The sequence below is a fragment of the Homo sapiens genome, chromosome 16, assembly GCF_000001405.40.
Source record: "Homo sapiens chromosome 16, GRCh38.p14 Primary Assembly".
In the NCBI taxonomy this organism is placed as follows: domain Eukaryota; kingdom Metazoa; phylum Chordata; class Mammalia; order Primates; family Hominidae; genus Homo; species Homo sapiens.
The window spans coordinates 71,843,135-71,860,936 of record NC_000016.10 but is presented as its reverse complement, the minus strand read 5'-3'; the positions used below and the strand labels follow the sequence as shown (position 1 = coordinate 71,860,936).

The 17,802-nt window shown below is 48.7% G+C and overlaps 2 protein-coding genes across 22 annotated transcripts in view, besides 8 other annotated features; one reads left to right on the top strand and one right to left on the bottom strand.

The window, feature by feature from the left end:
* Nucleotides 1-1,257, top strand: part of ZNF821 (zinc finger protein 821) — a 35,577-nt gene extending 34,320 nt beyond the window's left edge. For 14 of the 21 annotated variants that reach the window (XM_047434342.1, XM_047434347.1, XM_011523212.4 and 11 more), the window contains one exon: nucleotides 265-1,257. In XM_047434342.1, coding sequence (XP_047290298.1) covers nucleotides 265-919 — 655 coding nt within the window. In that variant the 3' untranslated portion in view covers nucleotides 920-1,257. The remainder of the gene's footprint in view (nucleotides 1-264) is intronic. The other 7 variants (NM_001376300.1, NM_001376297.1, NM_001201552.2 and 4 more) reach the window with 1 other exon arrangement.
* A 2,351-nt stretch (nucleotides 1,258-3,608) lies between these two features.
* Nucleotides 3,609-14,961, bottom strand: ATXN1L (ataxin 1 like). The gene is made up of 3 exons (NM_001137675.4): nucleotides 14,833-14,961; nucleotides 12,866-12,927; nucleotides 3,609-11,313 (listed from the first exon to the last, which is right to left on the bottom strand). The coding sequence occupies exon 3, from the start codon at nucleotides 11,194-11,196 to the stop codon at nucleotides 9,127-9,129; it is 2,070 nt and encodes a 689-aa protein (NP_001131147.1). The 5' UTR covers nucleotides 11,197-11,313; nucleotides 12,866-12,927; nucleotides 14,833-14,961; the 3' UTR covers nucleotides 3,609-9,126.
* Nucleotides 4,949-4,998: an enhancer, noted in NCBI's record as "active region_11084". NCBI's record gives its function as "activates an Ori minimal core promoter by ATAC-STARR-seq in GM12878 lymphoblastoid cells {active_cell/tissue: GM12878}" and the evidence as "EXISTENCE:reporter gene assay evidence [ECO:0000049][PMID:35858748]".
* Nucleotides 7,499-7,638: an enhancer, noted in NCBI's record as "active region_11083". NCBI's record gives its function as "activates an Ori minimal core promoter by ATAC-STARR-seq in GM12878 lymphoblastoid cells {active_cell/tissue: GM12878}" and the evidence as "EXISTENCE:reporter gene assay evidence [ECO:0000049][PMID:35858748]".
* Nucleotides 9,458-10,237: an enhancer, noted in NCBI's record as "H3K4me1 hESC enhancer chr16:71884603-71885382 (GRCh37/hg19 assembly coordinates)". NCBI's record gives its function as "activates a minimal SCP1, AML or CMV promoter by ChIP-STARR-seq in primed H9 embryonic stem cells {active_cell/tissue: H9 hESC(primed)}" and the evidence as "EXISTENCE:reporter gene assay evidence [ECO:0000049][PMID:30033119]".
* Nucleotides 14,345-15,116: an enhancer, noted in NCBI's record as "H3K27ac hESC enhancer chr16:71879724-71880495 (GRCh37/hg19 assembly coordinates)". NCBI's record gives its function as "activates a minimal SCP1, AML or CMV promoter by ChIP-STARR-seq in naive H9 embryonic stem cells {active_cell/tissue: H9 hESC(naive)}" and the evidence as "EXISTENCE:reporter gene assay evidence [ECO:0000049][PMID:30033119]".
* Nucleotides 14,474-14,543: an enhancer, noted in NCBI's record as "active region_11082". NCBI's record gives its function as "activates an Ori minimal core promoter by ATAC-STARR-seq in GM12878 lymphoblastoid cells {active_cell/tissue: GM12878}" and the evidence as "EXISTENCE:reporter gene assay evidence [ECO:0000049][PMID:35858748]".
* Nucleotides 14,764-15,073: a silencer, noted in NCBI's record as "silent region_7685". NCBI's record gives its function as "represses an Ori minimal core promoter by ATAC-STARR-seq in GM12878 lymphoblastoid cells {active_cell/tissue: GM12878}" and the evidence as "EXISTENCE:reporter gene assay evidence [ECO:0000049][PMID:35858748]".
* Nucleotides 15,117-15,889: an enhancer, noted in NCBI's record as "H3K27ac hESC enhancer chr16:71878951-71879723 (GRCh37/hg19 assembly coordinates)". NCBI's record gives its function as "activates a minimal SCP1, AML or CMV promoter by ChIP-STARR-seq in naive H9 embryonic stem cells {active_cell/tissue: H9 hESC(naive)}" and the evidence as "EXISTENCE:reporter gene assay evidence [ECO:0000049][PMID:30033119]".
* Nucleotides 15,334-15,383: an enhancer, noted in NCBI's record as "active region_11081". NCBI's record gives its function as "activates an Ori minimal core promoter by ATAC-STARR-seq in GM12878 lymphoblastoid cells {active_cell/tissue: GM12878}" and the evidence as "EXISTENCE:reporter gene assay evidence [ECO:0000049][PMID:35858748]".

The window sequence follows — 17,802 nt, the reverse complement described above, 5'->3', positions numbered from 1 at the left end:
TTGCAGTGAGCTGAGATTGCACCATTGTACTCCAGCCTGGGCGACAGAGCAAGACTCTGTCTCAAAAAAAAAAAAAAAAAGTTGGTAGACAACTCTCACGCGAAGAGAAGGGATGGAGCAGCAGAAGAGGTCCACCAAGCATTCAAACTGACCCCTTGTGGTGAGCGTGGAGCCACTGGCCTCATAGGAAAAGAATAAGGCAGGGCTGGAGTCCCGACTCTTGCTAGAAGGAAACACTAACCATCCAAAATGTTTCCTTTCCAGTGAGAAACTTCCTGAAGTACTAAATATGGAATCCCTACCCACAGTCCACAATGAGGGTCCCTCCAGTGCTGAGGGGAAGGATATTGCCTTTAGTCCTCCAGTGTACCCTGCTGGAATTCTGCTTGTGTGCAACAACTGTGCTGCCTACCGTAAACTGCTGGAAGCCCAGACTCCCAGTGTACGCAAGTGGGCTCTACGTCGACAGAATGAGCCTTTGGAAGTACGGCTGCAGCGGCTGGAACGAGAGCGCACGGCCAAGAAGAGCCGGCGGGACAATGAGACCCCCGAGGAGCGGGAGGTGAGGCGCATGAGGGACCGTGAAGCCAAGCGCTTGCAGCGCATGCAGGAGACAGACGAGCAGCGGGCACGCCGGCTGCAGCGGGATCGGGAGGCCATGAGGCTGAAGCGGGCCAATGAAACCCCGGAAAAGCGGCAGGCCCGGCTCATCCGAGAGCGAGAGGCCAAGCGGCTCAAGAGGAGGCTGGAGAAAATGGACATGATGTTGCGAGCTCAGTTTGGCCAGGACCCTTCTGCCATGGCAGCCTTAGCAGCTGAAATGAACTTCTTCCAGCTGCCTGTAAGTGGGGTGGAGTTGGACAGCCAGCTTCTGGGCAAGATGGCCTTTGAAGAGCAGAACAGCAGCTCTCTGCACTGAACCACACCCTCCTGCCTGCCCTCCTTCCCACCTACCTACCCACCCACCCACACCCACAGCCACGAGGACCAGTGCTGCTGCCACCCACGAGGCCCTGTCCTTGCTGCCAGAGGCAGGCCTGGGTTTATTGCAGGTGGACCTGAGCAGCCCTTGCATATGGGAACAGGATGATGGGGTCAGGAGGGACCTGGCTCAAGGCAGCTCTGGACAAGGGAGCAGGCAGTCCAGAGAACTGGCCTCCCCAGCCCACTGCCACAGGCTGTGCTTCTAGGACTGTGGGGCCCCTGTGTGGCCCATGAAGTTGTGAAGTCAAATAAATTAATTTTATCTTTACTGCCCCTTTCTTGCTTTTCTCTCAATGTCATTCTAGCAAATGAAGTGATCTAGGAGAAACCTGGGTGGAAATTTTCAGACAGTGGCTTCTGGTGGCTTGCCGTTTTCTTAGGGAGGATGCTCCTCAGCTTAGGCTGTCCAAGCAGAGGTCCTTATTTGGGCCTTTACAAGTTGCCGAGGAATTAGCATGACACCGAAGAAAGAACCGATGTTGACTGTGATGATTATTCCCACAACCATAATGAAGATACCTGTGGTCCCAAGGGCTGTTTAAACCTAGCTTACCTTTTCCAAACTCAGAAGAAGTCTCTTCTCATAACTGCTGTTTTCTAAAGACTATGCAATACCTTCAACTAGGTGTGCAACTTTTCCCAGCAATATTGTCGAACATTTACAATTCTAGACAGTAGTCAGCTGCATCTAGGAATAGGCTCATAGAAATAGCTGCAATATTAAGGTGCACAGCACCAAGAAACTCATGTTTGCATTTTATTTGTGTTTTATTTGTTCACCAGAGGCAAGGAAGGAAAATAAGCTCACTGAAGAAAATCCAGAATTAAGGTGGTAAGAGAGCTCAGGTTAAGGCTAGGGCAAAATGATTACTCTGGCAGGTTGTATGACTGCCAAACCATGGAGGAGACAAGAGCTGAGGTCATTTCTAAAAAGTTTCTGTGATGGTACAGAACAGGCACAGAACCTTCCTAGCCTGCACCAAAGGTTGTGTTCAGTTTAGATAATTATAGATCTTGAGGTCCAGAAGGAAGTGCCCTAGTTAAATTGTAGCCAGAAAAATAACTATGCCAGGAATGCGGACTTCTTCCAATATCTTAACAGGGAAACTTGGATTCCTCTCTGACCTCCATAGGTCCAAGGCTGTTTAACAGTGTCAACTGACCCCCGCCAAACTAGGGGTTTTGTTTTTTGTTTTTTGTTTGTTTTTTGAGACGGAGTCTCGCTCTGTTGCCCAGGCTGGAGTGTAATGACGTGATCTTGGCTCACTGCAACCCCTGCCTCCCGAGTTCAAGCAATTCTGCCTCAGCCTCCCGAGTAGCTGGTGTTACAGACACGTGCCACCACACCCGGCTACTTTTTGTATTTTTAGTAGAGACAGGGTTTCGCCATGTTGGCCAGGCTGGTCTTGAACTCCTGACCTCAGGTGATCCCCTGCCTTGGCCTCCCAAAGTGCTGGGATTACAGGCGCGAGCTACGTAGAACCCTGCCTGGAGTTTGCTTTTTTGAGAAAGGATATCACTCTGTCACCTAGGCTGGAGTACAGTGACAAGATCATAGCTCACCATAACCTCTAACTCCTGGACTCAAGTGATCCCCCTGCCTCAGCCTCCCAAGTAGCTGGGACTATAGGTGTGCACCACCACACCCAGCTAACAAACTAAGGTACTTTCACCAAGCAGGCTAAAATATTTGTTTTGAAAAATACATTTAAAAGAAAATACTTAGTTGGCGTGCTTGTAATCAATCCCAGCTACTCGGGAGGCCGAAGACGAGAATCACTTGAACCCGGGAGGTGGAAGTTGCAGTGAGCTGAGATTGTGCCACTGCACTCCAGCCTGTCAACACAGTGAGACTCTATCTAAAAAAAAAAAAACAACAACAAAAAAAAACAAACAAAAACTGTTTAATTTACTTAATTGACCCAAATGCCTTTCTCCCAGAGCTCCATACTGGAGTCCTACTTGGGATGCTTTAAAATGACTGAGTCCTCACCATGTGCCACAGATGATTCTAAGCGCTTTACATAGATGATCTCAATCTTCACAAGAAACTCTGAATTCATACAAACTCAAGAGTTGCACCTCTGGGTTCAGAAGTGCCCTGCCACACTAGCTGTGTAACTTTGGGGAGGTTACTTAACCTCTATGTCTTGGCTTCCCCATCCACAAAATGGAAATAATACTAGCAAAAAAAGCTTGTCCGTACATACAAAGCACTTAGGATATTTTGTAGCCCATAATAAGTGTTCCATAAATGCCATTACTAGTGGCAAGCTTTCTAAATTTTAGGCAGTAGCTATGATTGGGGCTGACTTATTCCAGCAATTTCTGGCAGTATTCCTGAGTAAAGAATTGGGGAGAAGGCCAGCAGCGAAGGCACCTACAGATCCTTGTGATTCCACTAGAATCTAAGTGTTCAGGTAGACTTCCGGGTCTCTGAAATCCACACCAACAGAGGGGAAAGACCATGCTTGAGGACAAGCTCATGCCATCTCCCTTGAGCTCACCGCACAAATAAAGCCACCATTTGTGTTCCATTACAACTGCTCCCACAAAGGTTTCTATCCCCCACCCCATGGCCACCATCTAAGGCTGGGATAGGAAGAAGGCGCAAACACCAAAAGGAAAAGCTAGTAGTTTATATAGATAGATATATAGATATATAGATATTGATAGATATTGTGTTTACATAGTCCACAAGTTAAATGCAGGTATCCATAAGAAGAGCATTAACAATAAAAATACAATCTGTGTGTAGCCAAGTACAGAGACTTAAAATGGTAAAACAGCAAAAAGGATCTCACAAAAGTACAAATATACAGTACAAATTGATTTATTTAAAACAGTTACAAAAAAGCACAACAAAATAGAGATTATCCTTAGAATTATTAATGCTTTGTTAAAGATCAGGTAGGATTAGAGGGTAAGAAATGGTATTGGGTGGAGGGAGCACCTGACTAGTTCTAAGGCTTTAGATACAATGCAGTTGATTACATATTAATTCAGCCATTACATACTGGGGATAGTAGATGGGGGATCAGTAATTTATCTACAGGGAACTCCTACACAGATCCATCCAGACCTCCCCAGTGCCATCCTTCTCCACTCCTTAGGACCCTAAAGCCACCTGGATGACAACATTCCCATCCTTTCTCCACCCCATTCCCTATCCGTATATTCTTCCCTCGCCTAAGGTGCTGTGCAAGCTGAGAGCAGTCTGCTCTCTGCAGCTGGATCATATACTGTTTTGGCTACAGGGATCCTGTGTGACTAAGAAGGTTGTAGGGGACAGCCTTATTTTAATACTTTAAGTTAGCCATGAGTACAGTCAGTCCCTCCCCCAACACAATCTAGATTCTCTTGAATGCAAGTATCAGTCAAGTGAGGGATCAACCCTGCCTTCAGCAATACCAGCAATGCACTAACCACTCACAGCTCACAACTACGTGCAAACTCCCTGCCCAGGGGGTGGGTGTAAAACCACTGTGTCATCAGCTCACACTCTTTCTCTGAAGAACCTCAGTCCCCATGACAGTCATAAAGACAAATAAATGCTTGCAAGTTTGACAACAGGTAAAGGCACATGGGCTGCTGCCACACACACTGCAGGCAAGAACCCAATTTGAGGCCATCTTCACTGCTGGGCATTTGCAGTGGAATGGCTTTGGGATCACAAAACTTTGAGTTCGCAATCTACCAGGGAGGGATCTAGGTTTAACTGGAGAACTAATAAAGAAACCTTTAGTGTGAAAAGTGCATTTATGACTATTGTTCCTGCTGGGGAGGCAGCAGGGCAAACCGCAACACCTCTCCTCCTTCCGCCCCAGGCACTGTGCATGGTCTGCAGCTAAGGAGAGAGTGCAGTCGACTCTAGCATCTCTGGGGCCAGTGTCATCCTAGGCACAGACCAGGCTTCTGGTCCAAAGATGGATCCTAGAGTTGAAAGAGCAACTGACAGCTGCAAAGACCCAGATGCTTATTTTATTATTGCATAATGTGGGAGACCTTCCCTACCCCAGGAAAGCTGGAGAGTGAAGGCTTCCCAGCAAAGGGCAAACAGGTTCCTGATCGACATCCAACCTAATAAGGTTCAGCTCCTCAACTGTAGTGTACACTTTTGCCCATCTGGAAGGTACTATAGCTTCAGTGTGGTTTAGTAAACTTAGCCTAGGAGGCCAAGATGTCTCCCTAAAACTTAGTCTCTGTCCTATTTACTTTGTTTATAAGACTGTGACCTAACTTCCCATGGCCAATTCAATCGACTAGGTTATCTTTACTCCAATGGACCCAGGCCTTTTCCCAGTCAATCCATGTCCAACCCTTCATCTCCAGCGTGATCACTCAACTCTTCAACATGCCTGCTTGCTGCAGGTTTAAACCACACCACCATCCTGTGCTTCCCCCTAAATCGCCCATGATGCCCGCAGGTAAAAATAAAACTAAACCCCACTTGAGGTGCTATTTCAGCCAAACTTTAAACCCTCTCCGAACTCCAGAATCCACCTAACTGGAGCTGGACGAACTTCACTGGGATGCTGGCATGGGCCCTAATGTGGTTCCCTTCATTTAGTTTTTAAAACAGGATACAAGATACCACAAAGGAAAGAAGTTAATACAACAGAAGACACCACTAGTAGAAACCTGCTTGTTTCTCCCTCAAGATAGTCAGACATTTGGAGCCAGAGGGCTCCCAACAGCACTGAAGCCTTATCCCTTTGGATTTACCAGCCCACCAGCAGCATTTCATACCATCCCTATCGAACATGACTTCGCTATAAAATAACATGGCCTAACACAGGTAAGAATGAACCGGACGCCTACACTTAATCTACATGGCCAAAGACATGGAAGGATAGGGAGCTGTAGAGGACAGCAGGCAGGACAGTGAGCGGACAGCAGCAGTGGCAAAGCAGCGCAGGGCAAAGCCCTTGGTGTTATGACCAACTGGGACCAAGAATATAGAAGGACCAGCCCAGATTGGCTGGGGGCCCTCCCTCAGGTACAAGTACTCAGCTCTGAACTCCCAGAGCCCCTTCCCCCCATGCCACCTCTTCCTCATGTATACTAATCTTGATAGGAATGATTCAAGACTTGGCTTATTATCCATCCATGACTGGGTTCCCCTATTCCCAAATTGGTATACACATTTTTATACAGCGCCAGACAGTCAGCAGTCCTCCTTTCTATTCCTAAGAGCTGGAAATGTCCTACTGCTGACAAGGGACAGGCTCTGGCCCTTGTCAACTGCTCATTCTTAAAAAGTTGGCAACTTCCCACTAAAATACTCGCTAAAAACTGCTCTCATGTCTCCTGCAAACTCAGGAAATTCCTATAAGGAAGAATGGACACACCACAGGTTAGTCATATTTTTCATGCCTGGAGGAAAAGACTAAACTAGAGGTTAAAGGCAAGGGGGAGGCCACAGCTCTGACCGAGATTTAGAGCACAGAGATTCTTTTCCTGGGGACCATATTTTATGACAGATACCTTTGCAGCTCAGCAAAATCAAGTATTAATATGTTATATATGCATGGAACGATATTGTGGTATTACAGGAACTGCTGGTATTGCTTCACCAGCAAGAGACAGCAACAGAAAGGTCAGGGCCCAACTTGCCAGGGTCCTCAAGAATTTCTCTTTCCAGAATTCAGTGGAAGTTACCAGGTTGGAAAGTCACAAGTAGCCCAAGTGGAAGGTGATTTGATCTAAACTAATTGGTCTGTATCTGGTTAGACATAGGTTTGCCCCATAAGGAGAAAGCTCAGCTTGTGTCCTTGCAGACACTGCTTGAGCATCTACTGTGTACATGTCACTAAATTCAGTTGATGAGCCTTCCTATGAGGAAGGACGCTTGTGAGAAACCCATGCAAACAATGAACTCTAGGAATGAGTTGCTCATGAAACAGCCAGAGATGAGGCCTTCTCCCAAGGCCTTCTCATTTGAGGGGATTCCTCAAGACTCAACCCCACAGGCCCCCACTGTAGGAAACAAGCCAGAGAAAGCAGCATTCAGAGAATGGGGGACAGAGAAGGGGAAAGATATGATCCCAAATGCAGTACAAAGTTGGCGTCTGGTTCTGACACAAACCAGATACTGAAGCACTCACGGTCAGGTCAGCAACCTCCTTTGATGGACCCCCAAAAGCTGACTGACCAGGCAAACTGCTTTCAAGGAATGAAAGAGTGGAGGGTAGGGCTTGTAGCAAACAAGCCAGTTTCAGTCACTCTGTTCCCCCAGGAGAACAACCTTTAGCACCTGAACACTAAGAATGACTCCATTCTCAGAACTTCCCCTCCCCCCAGGAGGTAGGTAAGATTATTTATCCCCATTTGGCAGGTGGGGAGGAAGTGAAAGAGCCAGAGGTCACGAGACTTGCCGAAAGTCCTTGACAGAGCAGAGATCAGACCTCAGAGGTTTGGACTCCTGATGCCAGGCCAGGTCTCGGCCAATCCAAGTATACCTTATAAAGGACATGCCAGGATCATAGCCTGGGAGAAGTCTAACCAGAGAGCTGCGTGGACAATACCCTGAGTTGCCTTCAAGAGTCTAAAGACCCCCAAAAAACAAACAAAAAAACTTACCCACCTGAAAGCTAGTGGGGGAGCCTAATTCCCAATACCCAGTGGAACCCCACGGTCTGAGCTGATGCTAAAAGTTGTGAAGAAAATGTGGGATTAAGACATTGGTGGGGGGTAGGGGGGGTGCCAATGCAACCAAGATTGAAAATACTTTTTGCAGAGGAATATACCAACACAAAATGACATCTATTCAGGTACTGAAATGTTATCAAGACTATCCTAGAATCTTAGAGCTGGTGGTGGGAGGGGATGGCTTGGAGGCACCAGAATGCTGGGAGAAGCAGTGGAATAAGACAGGAGGGGCATATGGGACATGTGAAAATGCCATGATGGGCACTGCCCAGCCACGCATTCGCCCTGGCCCAGGGCATAGTTCCCTTCTTGTTTCTTCACCAAGCTGTTTGGCAGTGGAAGTGGAGGGGACATGATTTTGAGATTTTAAAAATAGAGATTATAGCTGAAGGGGAAACCAGAGAGACCCCCTACCCACCAAAAACTAGAGGTCTTGGTCAGAGTGGACAAAACCAACTTTGCAGACAAGGAAAGGCAGTGCAGCTACAAATGAGGCCCAGGTCACGACACCATGCAGCGGTCAGCGCAGCAGGAGGGTGGGGGTGGCGCAGGCACTTGGGCACAACACAGACAAAGGTGGGGGGTCAGTGCCTGGGAAAAAGGGTCTACTAGTTCTAAAGTCACCATTACCAGCAAGATTCTGTGAGATTTCAAAGTGGGTCTGGCATGCTGAGATGGAGGAGCTTTGTTAGGTGAGCTACCTTTCCAGAGGGCCTGCCTAGAACCCAGTCAGCCTGGCTATCAAGTCTTTCTCCCAAAGTCCCCTGACTGAGTCCCTGGCAAGGTAGTACTTCACTCTGAACCCTGAAGGGGCTCTCCCTCCGGGCCCCCGTGCTGCTAGAAGCCTTGTAGGCAGAATGGTGAGGAGAGATGGGGAAGGGCTATGAAGCAGAGGATCAAGCAGAGTCCTGCAGATGAGAGTGCTCCTCCCCCACACACCCAGCCATAGACATCTGGAACAAAATCACCCTTTAAAGTGCGCATCTCTCACAAGAAGGGTTCTGGGTGGGAACCCTCTTATTTCCAACCTTGGGGCCTCCTGCCCTTCTACCACAAAAAAGAAAAAAAACTTCTGACAGTTTAACTGCTACTATAAGCTGTGGATCATCATTTTTGGCTCTTTCTTTACTCCCTCCCTCTGCCATCTGCTCCCAAAGCCTGGACTTTCTCTTGCAGGAGCTAGGGATGGGGAGGAAAGAACAGGGAGGCCCTGATTTTGGAATGTTTCTTCTCCTGTGTGCACCCCCTTCCTTCCTTGCCCCAGGCCTGCTGCTCCCCATCACAACACCCTCTGGGGTTGTCCTGAAAGGATGCCATGGGGTAATGAACAACAGATCCTGCCTTGGGAGGCTGACTTCATGCCTCCCCTTTCCCCCAAATCTCACTGCCAAGAAAGCCATTCCCTGCTCGGCGTGTGCAAATCCTCTGCCTGCTCACGGCGGCGAGGCGAGGCTCTGGGGTAAAGCCCCAGTCCTGGTCTGGGGAAGAGGTTCATTTTCCCGCATTGGAACGCCCTTCAATGGACAGCTTTACCTCCTGTGGAATGAAAGAGGGACGGAGCAGCGCAGCCCGTGCCTCCTCCCCTTGCATGCTGTATCTTTGGAAGCTCGGGGCTGGCCAGCAGGCCTGAGCACCGGACTCAGGCTGGGAAGGCTCTACCACACGGGAGCCCTCTCCTGCCGGCTGGCTCTTCCCCTCACTGTCACATAGCTCTCTGGATCCCAAGACCGTCCTCTCAGGCCTTTCTCGGGGGGGACCCAGCTGGCTTGGGGGAGCACAGCTGGCCTGAGAAACTGAGTTACTGTTCAAGCTCTGTAAACTGATAGAGATGCAGACATCTCCCACCTGTAGCCGATGGCAGGGCAGAGAGAAGAGTTGTGTCGTCCGCCCAGGGCTGCAAGAGGACCAACCCTGGCCATATACAAAGAAGGGGTGCTCGGGGGGCACTTCGATGCTCACTTTGCTCTGCTGCTCACCAACCACAAAATGCAGCATGACAAATCCAGGCCATTGGCTCTCCTGAATGTCCACGACCGTGCTAGAGTCAATCTTCAGCCCCCCGCTCACTTCGGCACTGCGCACAAAATCCTGGGTCTGGAGGTCCTCCACCCGCTTCAGCTCTCCCGTAGCCAGCTGGATGATGGCGCCTTTCATGAAATGGGAAGGCAAGTGAGAGGAGGTAATGGGGGGCGGCGTTGGCTCCTTGTCTGGGAAGGTGGCTCTGGCCTGCACGTCCAGACTTGATGCTACCAGGATCTCCGAGCCCACAGGCAGCAGGCCTGAGTCAGTTCCAGTGGGCACCAGGTTGCCATTGGCTACAACCATTGCTTTGGGTAAAGGTCTATGTTTTACTGGTTCCTGATGGGACTGAGGGTAGAACCCACGGGCCTGACTTTTCTCTGCCAGCTCTGCAGGGTTCCTGGCTGACCCTCGCCCCTCACCCTGATGGTCGGGGGTATGATGGGATAGGTTGAGGGGGCTGGGTTCCTCCTTCCTCTGAGCTGCCACCACACGATAGTCCTGAGAAGCTAAAGCGCCAACCACCCGCTGGACCTCAAGGTCAGTGTCCGGGGTCCCCCGGTGTGCTGGTGCTGCTACCTCTACCCGTGGAGTCTGAGAACCTGAAAACAACTGTCCATCCACCACACATTCTACCACTGGCACCAGTCCCTGGCCTTCACCCTTGCTGTTGGGGGAGTCAAGGGCTTCACTTTCCCGTCTTACTAAATTTCGCTCTCGTGGTCTCTGTCCTCCATTTGCAGCAGCTGCTTCCAGAGCAGACTGGCTCTCCTGAGGGGTAAGAACTGGGCTGGCACCTGCTGGAGGGGTTTCATGCAAAGTATACCCAGCAGGTAGCCTGGACATCTGATAATAAATGGGCATCCGACCTGGAGCAAGGTCCAGCGGCTGAGTACTTGAATGATGTGGCAATTGCCCAGATGGGGAGGTGGCAGAGGGAGCTTTGTTAAATGAGTGGGCCGGGGAGGGAGCCTGTGGGGGAGGAGTGGCTCCTTCAGCCAGAAGTGAGGCATATGGCACAAAGTGTGGAAGGTGAGAGGTGGCAAGGTTGGCAGAAGGAGATAGGAGGGGACTCGGTAGGAAATTAGGTGGCACAGCATAGGGAAGGCTATAAGGAGACCCAATGAACTGCAGCGAGGTGGATGGGAGCTGAGCATAGTGGAGTGGAGGATAGTGGATGCCTGGATGTTGAATTAGTGAAGACGCTACATTAAACGTTGGGGGCAAGGGACTCATATTCACCACAGATGGGAGTCCAGTTGGTGAAAAGGTGGCAGGCGGCACAGCCACCTTATACAGCATGCCATACTGGTCCACTGTCAGACCGGTGATGGCCTCAGCTCCATCACCCCCCAGGCTGACTCTGGCTCCTGCCTGGCTCTGCCCAGCCACCACAACCCCTCGGGACCATTCAGAAGCATCACTGGAGGGTGTGTGGTTAGTGGAGCAGCTGGTAGTTCTCCCCATATCCTCGCTGGTCACGGGGAGGTCTCGTTTCTTTGGTGGAAGGCATTCCTGACTCCTTTCATGAACAGGTTTCATATTGCTTTGTGGTGTTCCTGGAGCCTGGAAGGAGTCGACTTGCTCCCTGGGGCATCAGAAGGGGCTTCTCTGTAGCTTCCCTGTACCCCTCTCTGCTTCTGGCTGGGGCGCCCACATCTATTAGGGAACAAATCAGAGGCAAAGAAAAGTAACCTAGGGATGAGCCAAGACAAAGGAAATAGAAAGAACTGTGCCATGGAGGAAGATGTAACAAAGGGGACTGTTAGAAAATAAGGAGGAAAGAGAAAGGGGCAGACAAGGAGGCTACCCCCAACTCATCCAGCCTGGGACATGAGAGAAACAGTCGGGGAAATCACAAGGCACAAAGAGCTACAGGGACACGCATTCACCAATGCACAAATAACCTGTGGGCTCCACAAGCCCAGGGAGACCAACAGCTTCACGGTTAGTCATGTGTCTCATAAGCACCTTGTCTCTTTTCTGCCTTCTTCCCAAAGGGGGCTTTGAACACATGGTCTTTCCTGCTGGCTCTTTTGCTTTTTTTTTTTTTTTTTTTTTTTTTTAAAACACATGGAGTTTTGCTCTTGTTGCCCTGGCCACAGTACATGGTGCAATCTCAGCTCACCGCAACCTCGCCTCCCGGGTTCAAGCAATTCTCCTGCCTCAGCCTCCCAAGCAGCTGGGACTACAGGCATGCACCACCACGCCTGGCTAACTTTGTATTTTTAGTAGAGATGGGGTTTCACCATGTTGGCCAGGCTAGTCTCGAACGCCTGCCCTTGGGTGATCCGCCCACCTCAGCCTCCCAAAGTGCTGGGATTACGGGTGTGAGCCACAGCGCCCAGCCTCCTGCTGGCTCTTTTTCTTAAGTTTCTCCTTTTGCTACCAAACATGAATGTGCCACCTTCTTTCCTGAACATATGACCTCATCCTTGCTTCCTTTCTGTAGCCTAATTTGGGTTATGATCTCACCTACTGCTATCCCAAGCCTGGCTAAAAACTCTCTTCCTCCTTTGCCTCATCTCATCAGTACCTCAAGGACCTAGGTGCCAAAACCCTCAGGTCTGCTCGTGTTTTGTTTTTTTTTTTAAGACTTTGCTCCCTAACCAGGTTATGAAAATTAACATCTTTGACCCATGAAATAATACATTTTAACTCAGCCTCTATATAGTGAAAGTGATTAAACTAGTTTGCTGTCAACTTGTTTCTCCTCTTCACCAAAGAACAACAAAATTCTAAATTCTTCTGACCTTACGTACACTTCCGGTTCCCTAGTCTCAAAAGGCTTCTTCTCAATGATCACCTTCAATTTGCCTTCTCTATTCATTCCCTTTCTTTTTTCTTTGTGCTTTCTTTTACCAATAGCTCCTTCTCCACTGTAGGTCTGCTCCAGGCACCACTCCATGAAATTCTGGTTCCATTCCTCTAAACATGCCTGTTTTTTTCCCCGTATCTGTATGATTCATAAGAAAGTTCTCTTTCCCTTTTCTCTTATTGTCACCTTTCACAAATGCTTTTGTCCATTGTTATAAAGCAACTTTTTGGTCTGAACACTTCAGTGCACATGAACTTTGCTGCCTATTTCTTCCAACCAGGTTCCAGTTCTTTGGATCTGAAAAGAGCTTTCTATATTACATTCTGTTCTGTTTTTCCACTGTGACATCCCAGATATTTTCCTGAAACAAGGAATTCAAAGTGCCGGTATTACCTGAGTTTCCAGTGGTGCTTCTGAGCAGCTGTAGTAAGTGTCCTCCCGGCTGGCTCGGGAGCCTAGAAGATAGAAACAGGAATGGAGTAAGCGGCTGCCTGACCTCTAATTCTCCCCAGGGTCACCATGAAAGGTAATTCCAAAGCATTAGAGTATACACGTCCTTGCCTCATCTTCTTCTCCACAGGTAAACAGTACATTTACCCAGAGTGCCCAGGCAGTTGAACAGAGAGAAAAACACCTCTAATGCTCCAACTTGTAAGAAGACATCCCTGAAAAAAAATTTCCATGTATCAAATTTCATTGGTTTTCCGTAACATCATTTCCCTAACATCTACCTGTGCCTGTTCCCCAAAGGTTAAATTTGCTCCAATCCAAATTTCAGATAAACGCACAAATAAAAATGGAAGCTTTAACACTGTTCCCATATGAACAATGGGAAGCAGGAAAAATCAACTCTATGGATTTCCCCTTTATTCTGGGCCTATGAAAACATAAATGTGGAGTTATTTAAATGAAAAAAAGCAGCAGTAGATGAAAAAGAACAATTATTTATGTTTCTGGGGCAGAAAAAGAGGTCAGGGGGGAGTCACTCAAGGAGAAGACTTATTAAGAGATTTTCAGGGTTAAAAAAAAATGAGCATATGTGTGTGTGTATGTAAAATTTTCTGAGTGACAGTATACCAAGTGCTGAATCAGGTATGAAAGAAACTGAAAATATTGCCTTGGTCCTCAGCTGGCTAACACTGGTGAAACAAAACTACCACTAAACCATCACTATGTGAATCTACACTTGCCAGAAACGCAAAGCGAGAAAGAATGGAGCCTTAACCTCTGAAAACAGAGAAGGCAGTACAGATGAGTGAGTGCTCTGAGAAACTGACTATCCTGTCCAAGTCCTATAGAACACTCTAAGCCTCAACCCAAACCGAATGCAACATTTCTCTCTTAAGATTGGCAAGGTGCAGGTGTACACAAAAGGTGGAAGGATAGGAAAACACAGTGGGAAAACAAATTCCTAATTCCACAAACACATATTATTACACAGTGGCATAAATAATGACTCTTTTCTCCACCAGCAGCTTTAATAACTGAAAAGCAGCTTGCTTTCTTCTTCATTCCCAACAGAAACTGGGGTCACACTTCAATCCCAAAATGATCCTTGCTTTCTGTAACGAAAACTTTAAAGAAAACCTGCCTCCAGGTCACCGAGAAGTTAGCAAACACAGGCTAGTAAAGGGACCGAAAGAGGCAAAAGGTCTGCAGAAAGGAAAACAAAGAGCCAAGCCTGTGCGCCAGGTTCCCACAACGCAAAACACACTTAAGAATCCGAAACCTCCGCCTCTCGAGAACCTCACTGAGCATCTCAAAGGGAAAACGCAGCTTGTGACCCCAACCGAGCTAACAGGCTGTTCAGGAGAGTTGCCAACGCTGCTAGCAGAGCCCGGAACCAAGCTCCTCATCACGCTTGGGTCGGAATCAAGGGGCTGAACCCAGCTGGAGACCCAAATTCTCTGCGGGCGAGAGGTGCGCCCGACAGAAAGGGAGAAGCTTGTCAGAGACTACGGTTATGGCTCCCAGTGGTCCCGCAATCCTTGATCCAACAAGGGTAGGGCTCGAAATTGGGAATTCTGCGTTTAGAGAGTAGGGGGTCCACCCTTCACCAAGGGGGCAGGGGCGAGGCCCTGCAGGCGACGCTTCCTTGTTTGGGGGCCCTTCCCGCCCCACAGACTCGGACACCTTGGCTCGCAGGCACACAGCCTCCGGGGCGCCGGGGCCTGAGGCCACCTTCCAGGACAGGCCAGAGAGAAGCGCGAGGGGGTCTAGGTGCGGCCTCTCCCCTCCGTCTGTCCACGGTTCATGGGCCCCGGCCCGCCGGAGCAACGGGCTCCTGAGGGCCACTTCCTCCGGAGCACCGACCCCAGGCCTGCCTGGCCCCGGCGGCCACCACTTCCAGGGACACTCACCAGCCCATTTCACAGCGCTTCCCAGGATCCACTCACTCGTCCCGGAGCCGCCGCAACCGCGGCCGCCGCCATCCCCGGCCCCGGAGCCGCCCCACACCCAGCGCCCCCCACAGCCGGGCGCCCGGAGATGGCGTCAAGCTCGTCCCGCCCCCGGCGCGGAGAGATTGCGTCACGGCCGGGGTGGGAGAGCAACGCCCAGGACTCCCCGGGAAGGGAGGGTGCCACACTGCCTTCGCGTCGGGCGTTCCCTCTGGTGGGTGAACAAACTCCTCTCCCTGGGACCGGGTCACGTGAATAGGGCTGGGCCCGGCCCCCTCAGCCTGACCCCACAATGACCCCGCAATCTTTCCACCTCAGTAAATTTTGGGGGTTCCCAAACAGAGCCCCGGGGCGTGGTCATCGGCGACCCCCCATTTCCTGGACTTCTTGTCCTGACTTGTGCAGCCCCTTCTGGGGAACTTCGGGGGACCCCGAGGTGACCTAGGCTCAGGAGAAAAGGAGATACCTCTTACCTCTTGGGGACCCAGGTGGAGATAGGAAGTCTTCTTTTTTTCTTTTCTTTCTTTTTTTTGGAGACAGTTTCGCTCTTGTTGCCCAGGCTAGAGTGCAATGGCACGATCTCGGCTCACCCAACCTCCGCCTGCCAGGTTCAAGCAATTCTCCTATCTCAGCCTCCCGAGTAGCTGGGATTACAGGCATGCGCCACCACACCTGGCTAATTTTTTGTATTTTTAGTAGAGACAGGGTTTCTCCTTGCTGGTCAGGCTGGTCTCGAACTCCCGACCTCAGGTGATCCCCACACCTCGGCCTGCCAAAGTGCTGGGATTACAGGCGTGAGCCACCGTGCCAGGTCAATAGGAGCTCTGTAAGTGTTGAGAAGTGGCCCCCGAGGGAGCTAAGAGTGAACCCCACTCAGGATCTAGGGGAAGGTGACAAGGAGTGGAACACCTGAAAGTTTAGAGAGAGCCCGGGGTTTAGTACAGTGAGAAGCAGCTTGGTTTAGTGGAAAGAGGGCTTGACTACTCAGTGAAATATTATTCATTACAAATTAACTAATTATTCATTACAAATTAACTGGTCAACTTCATAGTAACATGAACATCTGATTAACTTAAGTGAAGACAAAAGTGAGCGCCAGTTGAATTTATGTTTGAATAACAACTGTGTTTTTGTTGTTGTTTGTTTTAAAGTATTAGGTTGGTGCAAAAGTAATTGCGGTTTTGGCCACCGAAATGGAGACTTTCAGTTTCTTCAAACTCTGTTCAATAAATAACAATTGGGCCAGGCGCGGTGGCTCACGCCTGCAATCCCAGCACTTTGGGAGGCCAAGGCCGGCGGATCACGAGGTCAGGAGATCGCAGACCATCCTGGCTAACACGGCGAAACCCCGTCTCTACTAAAAATACAGAAAATTAGCCGGGCATGGTGGCGGGCACCTGTACTCCCAGCTACTCGGGAGGCTGAAGCAGGAGAATGGCATGAACCCGGGAGGCAGAGCTTGCAGTGAGCCGAGATCGTGCCACTGCACTCCAGCCTGGGCAATAGAGTGAGACTCCGTCTTAAAAAAAAAAAAAGAAAAAAAAAGATATGTCATTGCAGTTGCGTGTATGTGTGTGTGTGTGTGTACATATAATTTTTTTTTTTTTTTAGCCCTGTCGCCCAGGTTAGAGTGCAGTGGTGCCATCTTAGCTCACTGCAGCCTCAAATTCCTGTGCTCAAGCAGTCCTCCCACCTCAGCCTCTGGGGTAGGTGCGATGATAGGCATGCACTACCATGCCCAGCTAATTTTTTAAAATTTCTTGCAGAGACAAGGTCTTGCTATGTTGCCCAGGCTGGTCTTAGACTCCTGTGCTCAAGTGATCTTCCCTCCTCGGCCTCCCAAAGTGCTGACATTTCAGTCATGAGCCAACCACACCCAGCGTCGGTTGTATGTATTTCTGTGTATCTGTACAGAAAAGGAGTAGAACACATAACTAATTAACATTGGTTATTTTTGGGAAGGAAAGTGGAATTGGGTGGTGGTCAAAAGGCAAAGAAACAACTTATATTATTGTTTGAATATTTAGGAGAATATTATCTTAGAAATAAAAAAAGTAAGTTGAGATCCAGATACAATGCATGATCTCTAAGATTCTTTCTAGGGAAGCCTTAGATCTCAATTATATTTTCTCACCTGGATGGACACATAGGGCCATAAAAAATTATCAAGTACCACACAGACACACACACAGACACACACACACACGCACACATACACACAGCACAAATGGGAAAAAACATAGTGAAGTTACTGCTGTCATCTAAATCATCTGAGTGTTTTGCTTCATTAATATTAATATTGTTCATGACAGTCTCCTTCTCTCTCAGTTTGGCCAAGAAGGAAGTCCTGTGGTCACTCAGTGTGTCCGTTTTAGCACTAACTAGCATTCTGGTTTCTAGTTCATTTCTTAGCTCACTAAACTGGCATTAAAATAGTCAAGATAGGAACCCTTGGACTATCCAAGCATATTCAAGGATAGCTAGTTTCTCCCAGATCAAGATATACACTCAGAGCTGGGTTTTCTGTACAAATTTGAAAGAGTAGACACAGGTAGATGTAAGCAAAAAAAAAGTTTTATGGCTACCAACCATTAACATAATGATGTACATGATACAAAAGCATGTCCATTAAAAAGTAAAAACAGGATGTTCTGATTGGTGAAACACAGGTGATTTCCGGGTTTGGCACTGCAGTCCCAAAAGGGTGGGTCATATGTCCGCTGTATCCCATTCCCAAACTCTTTACTACTCTGAGTAATCTTTTTTTCTTTGGTTGTATATCCTGATGGTAGAAAGCTCCATAGCAACAGTTTGACAGGTATATTAGTGATAAGTAAACTAATAAAGTTTTTAGATTTATGGCACAAAAATAACCAAAAGTTACCTAATTTATCCAAATATCTGTATTATTTTTCTGGAATCTGGGTAACA

Coding starts and splice junctions, on each gene's coding strand:
- ATXN1L (NM_001137675.4), bottom strand. CDS start 11,196: ATGAAACCTGTTCATGAAAGGAGTCAGGAATGCCTTCCACCAAAGAAA.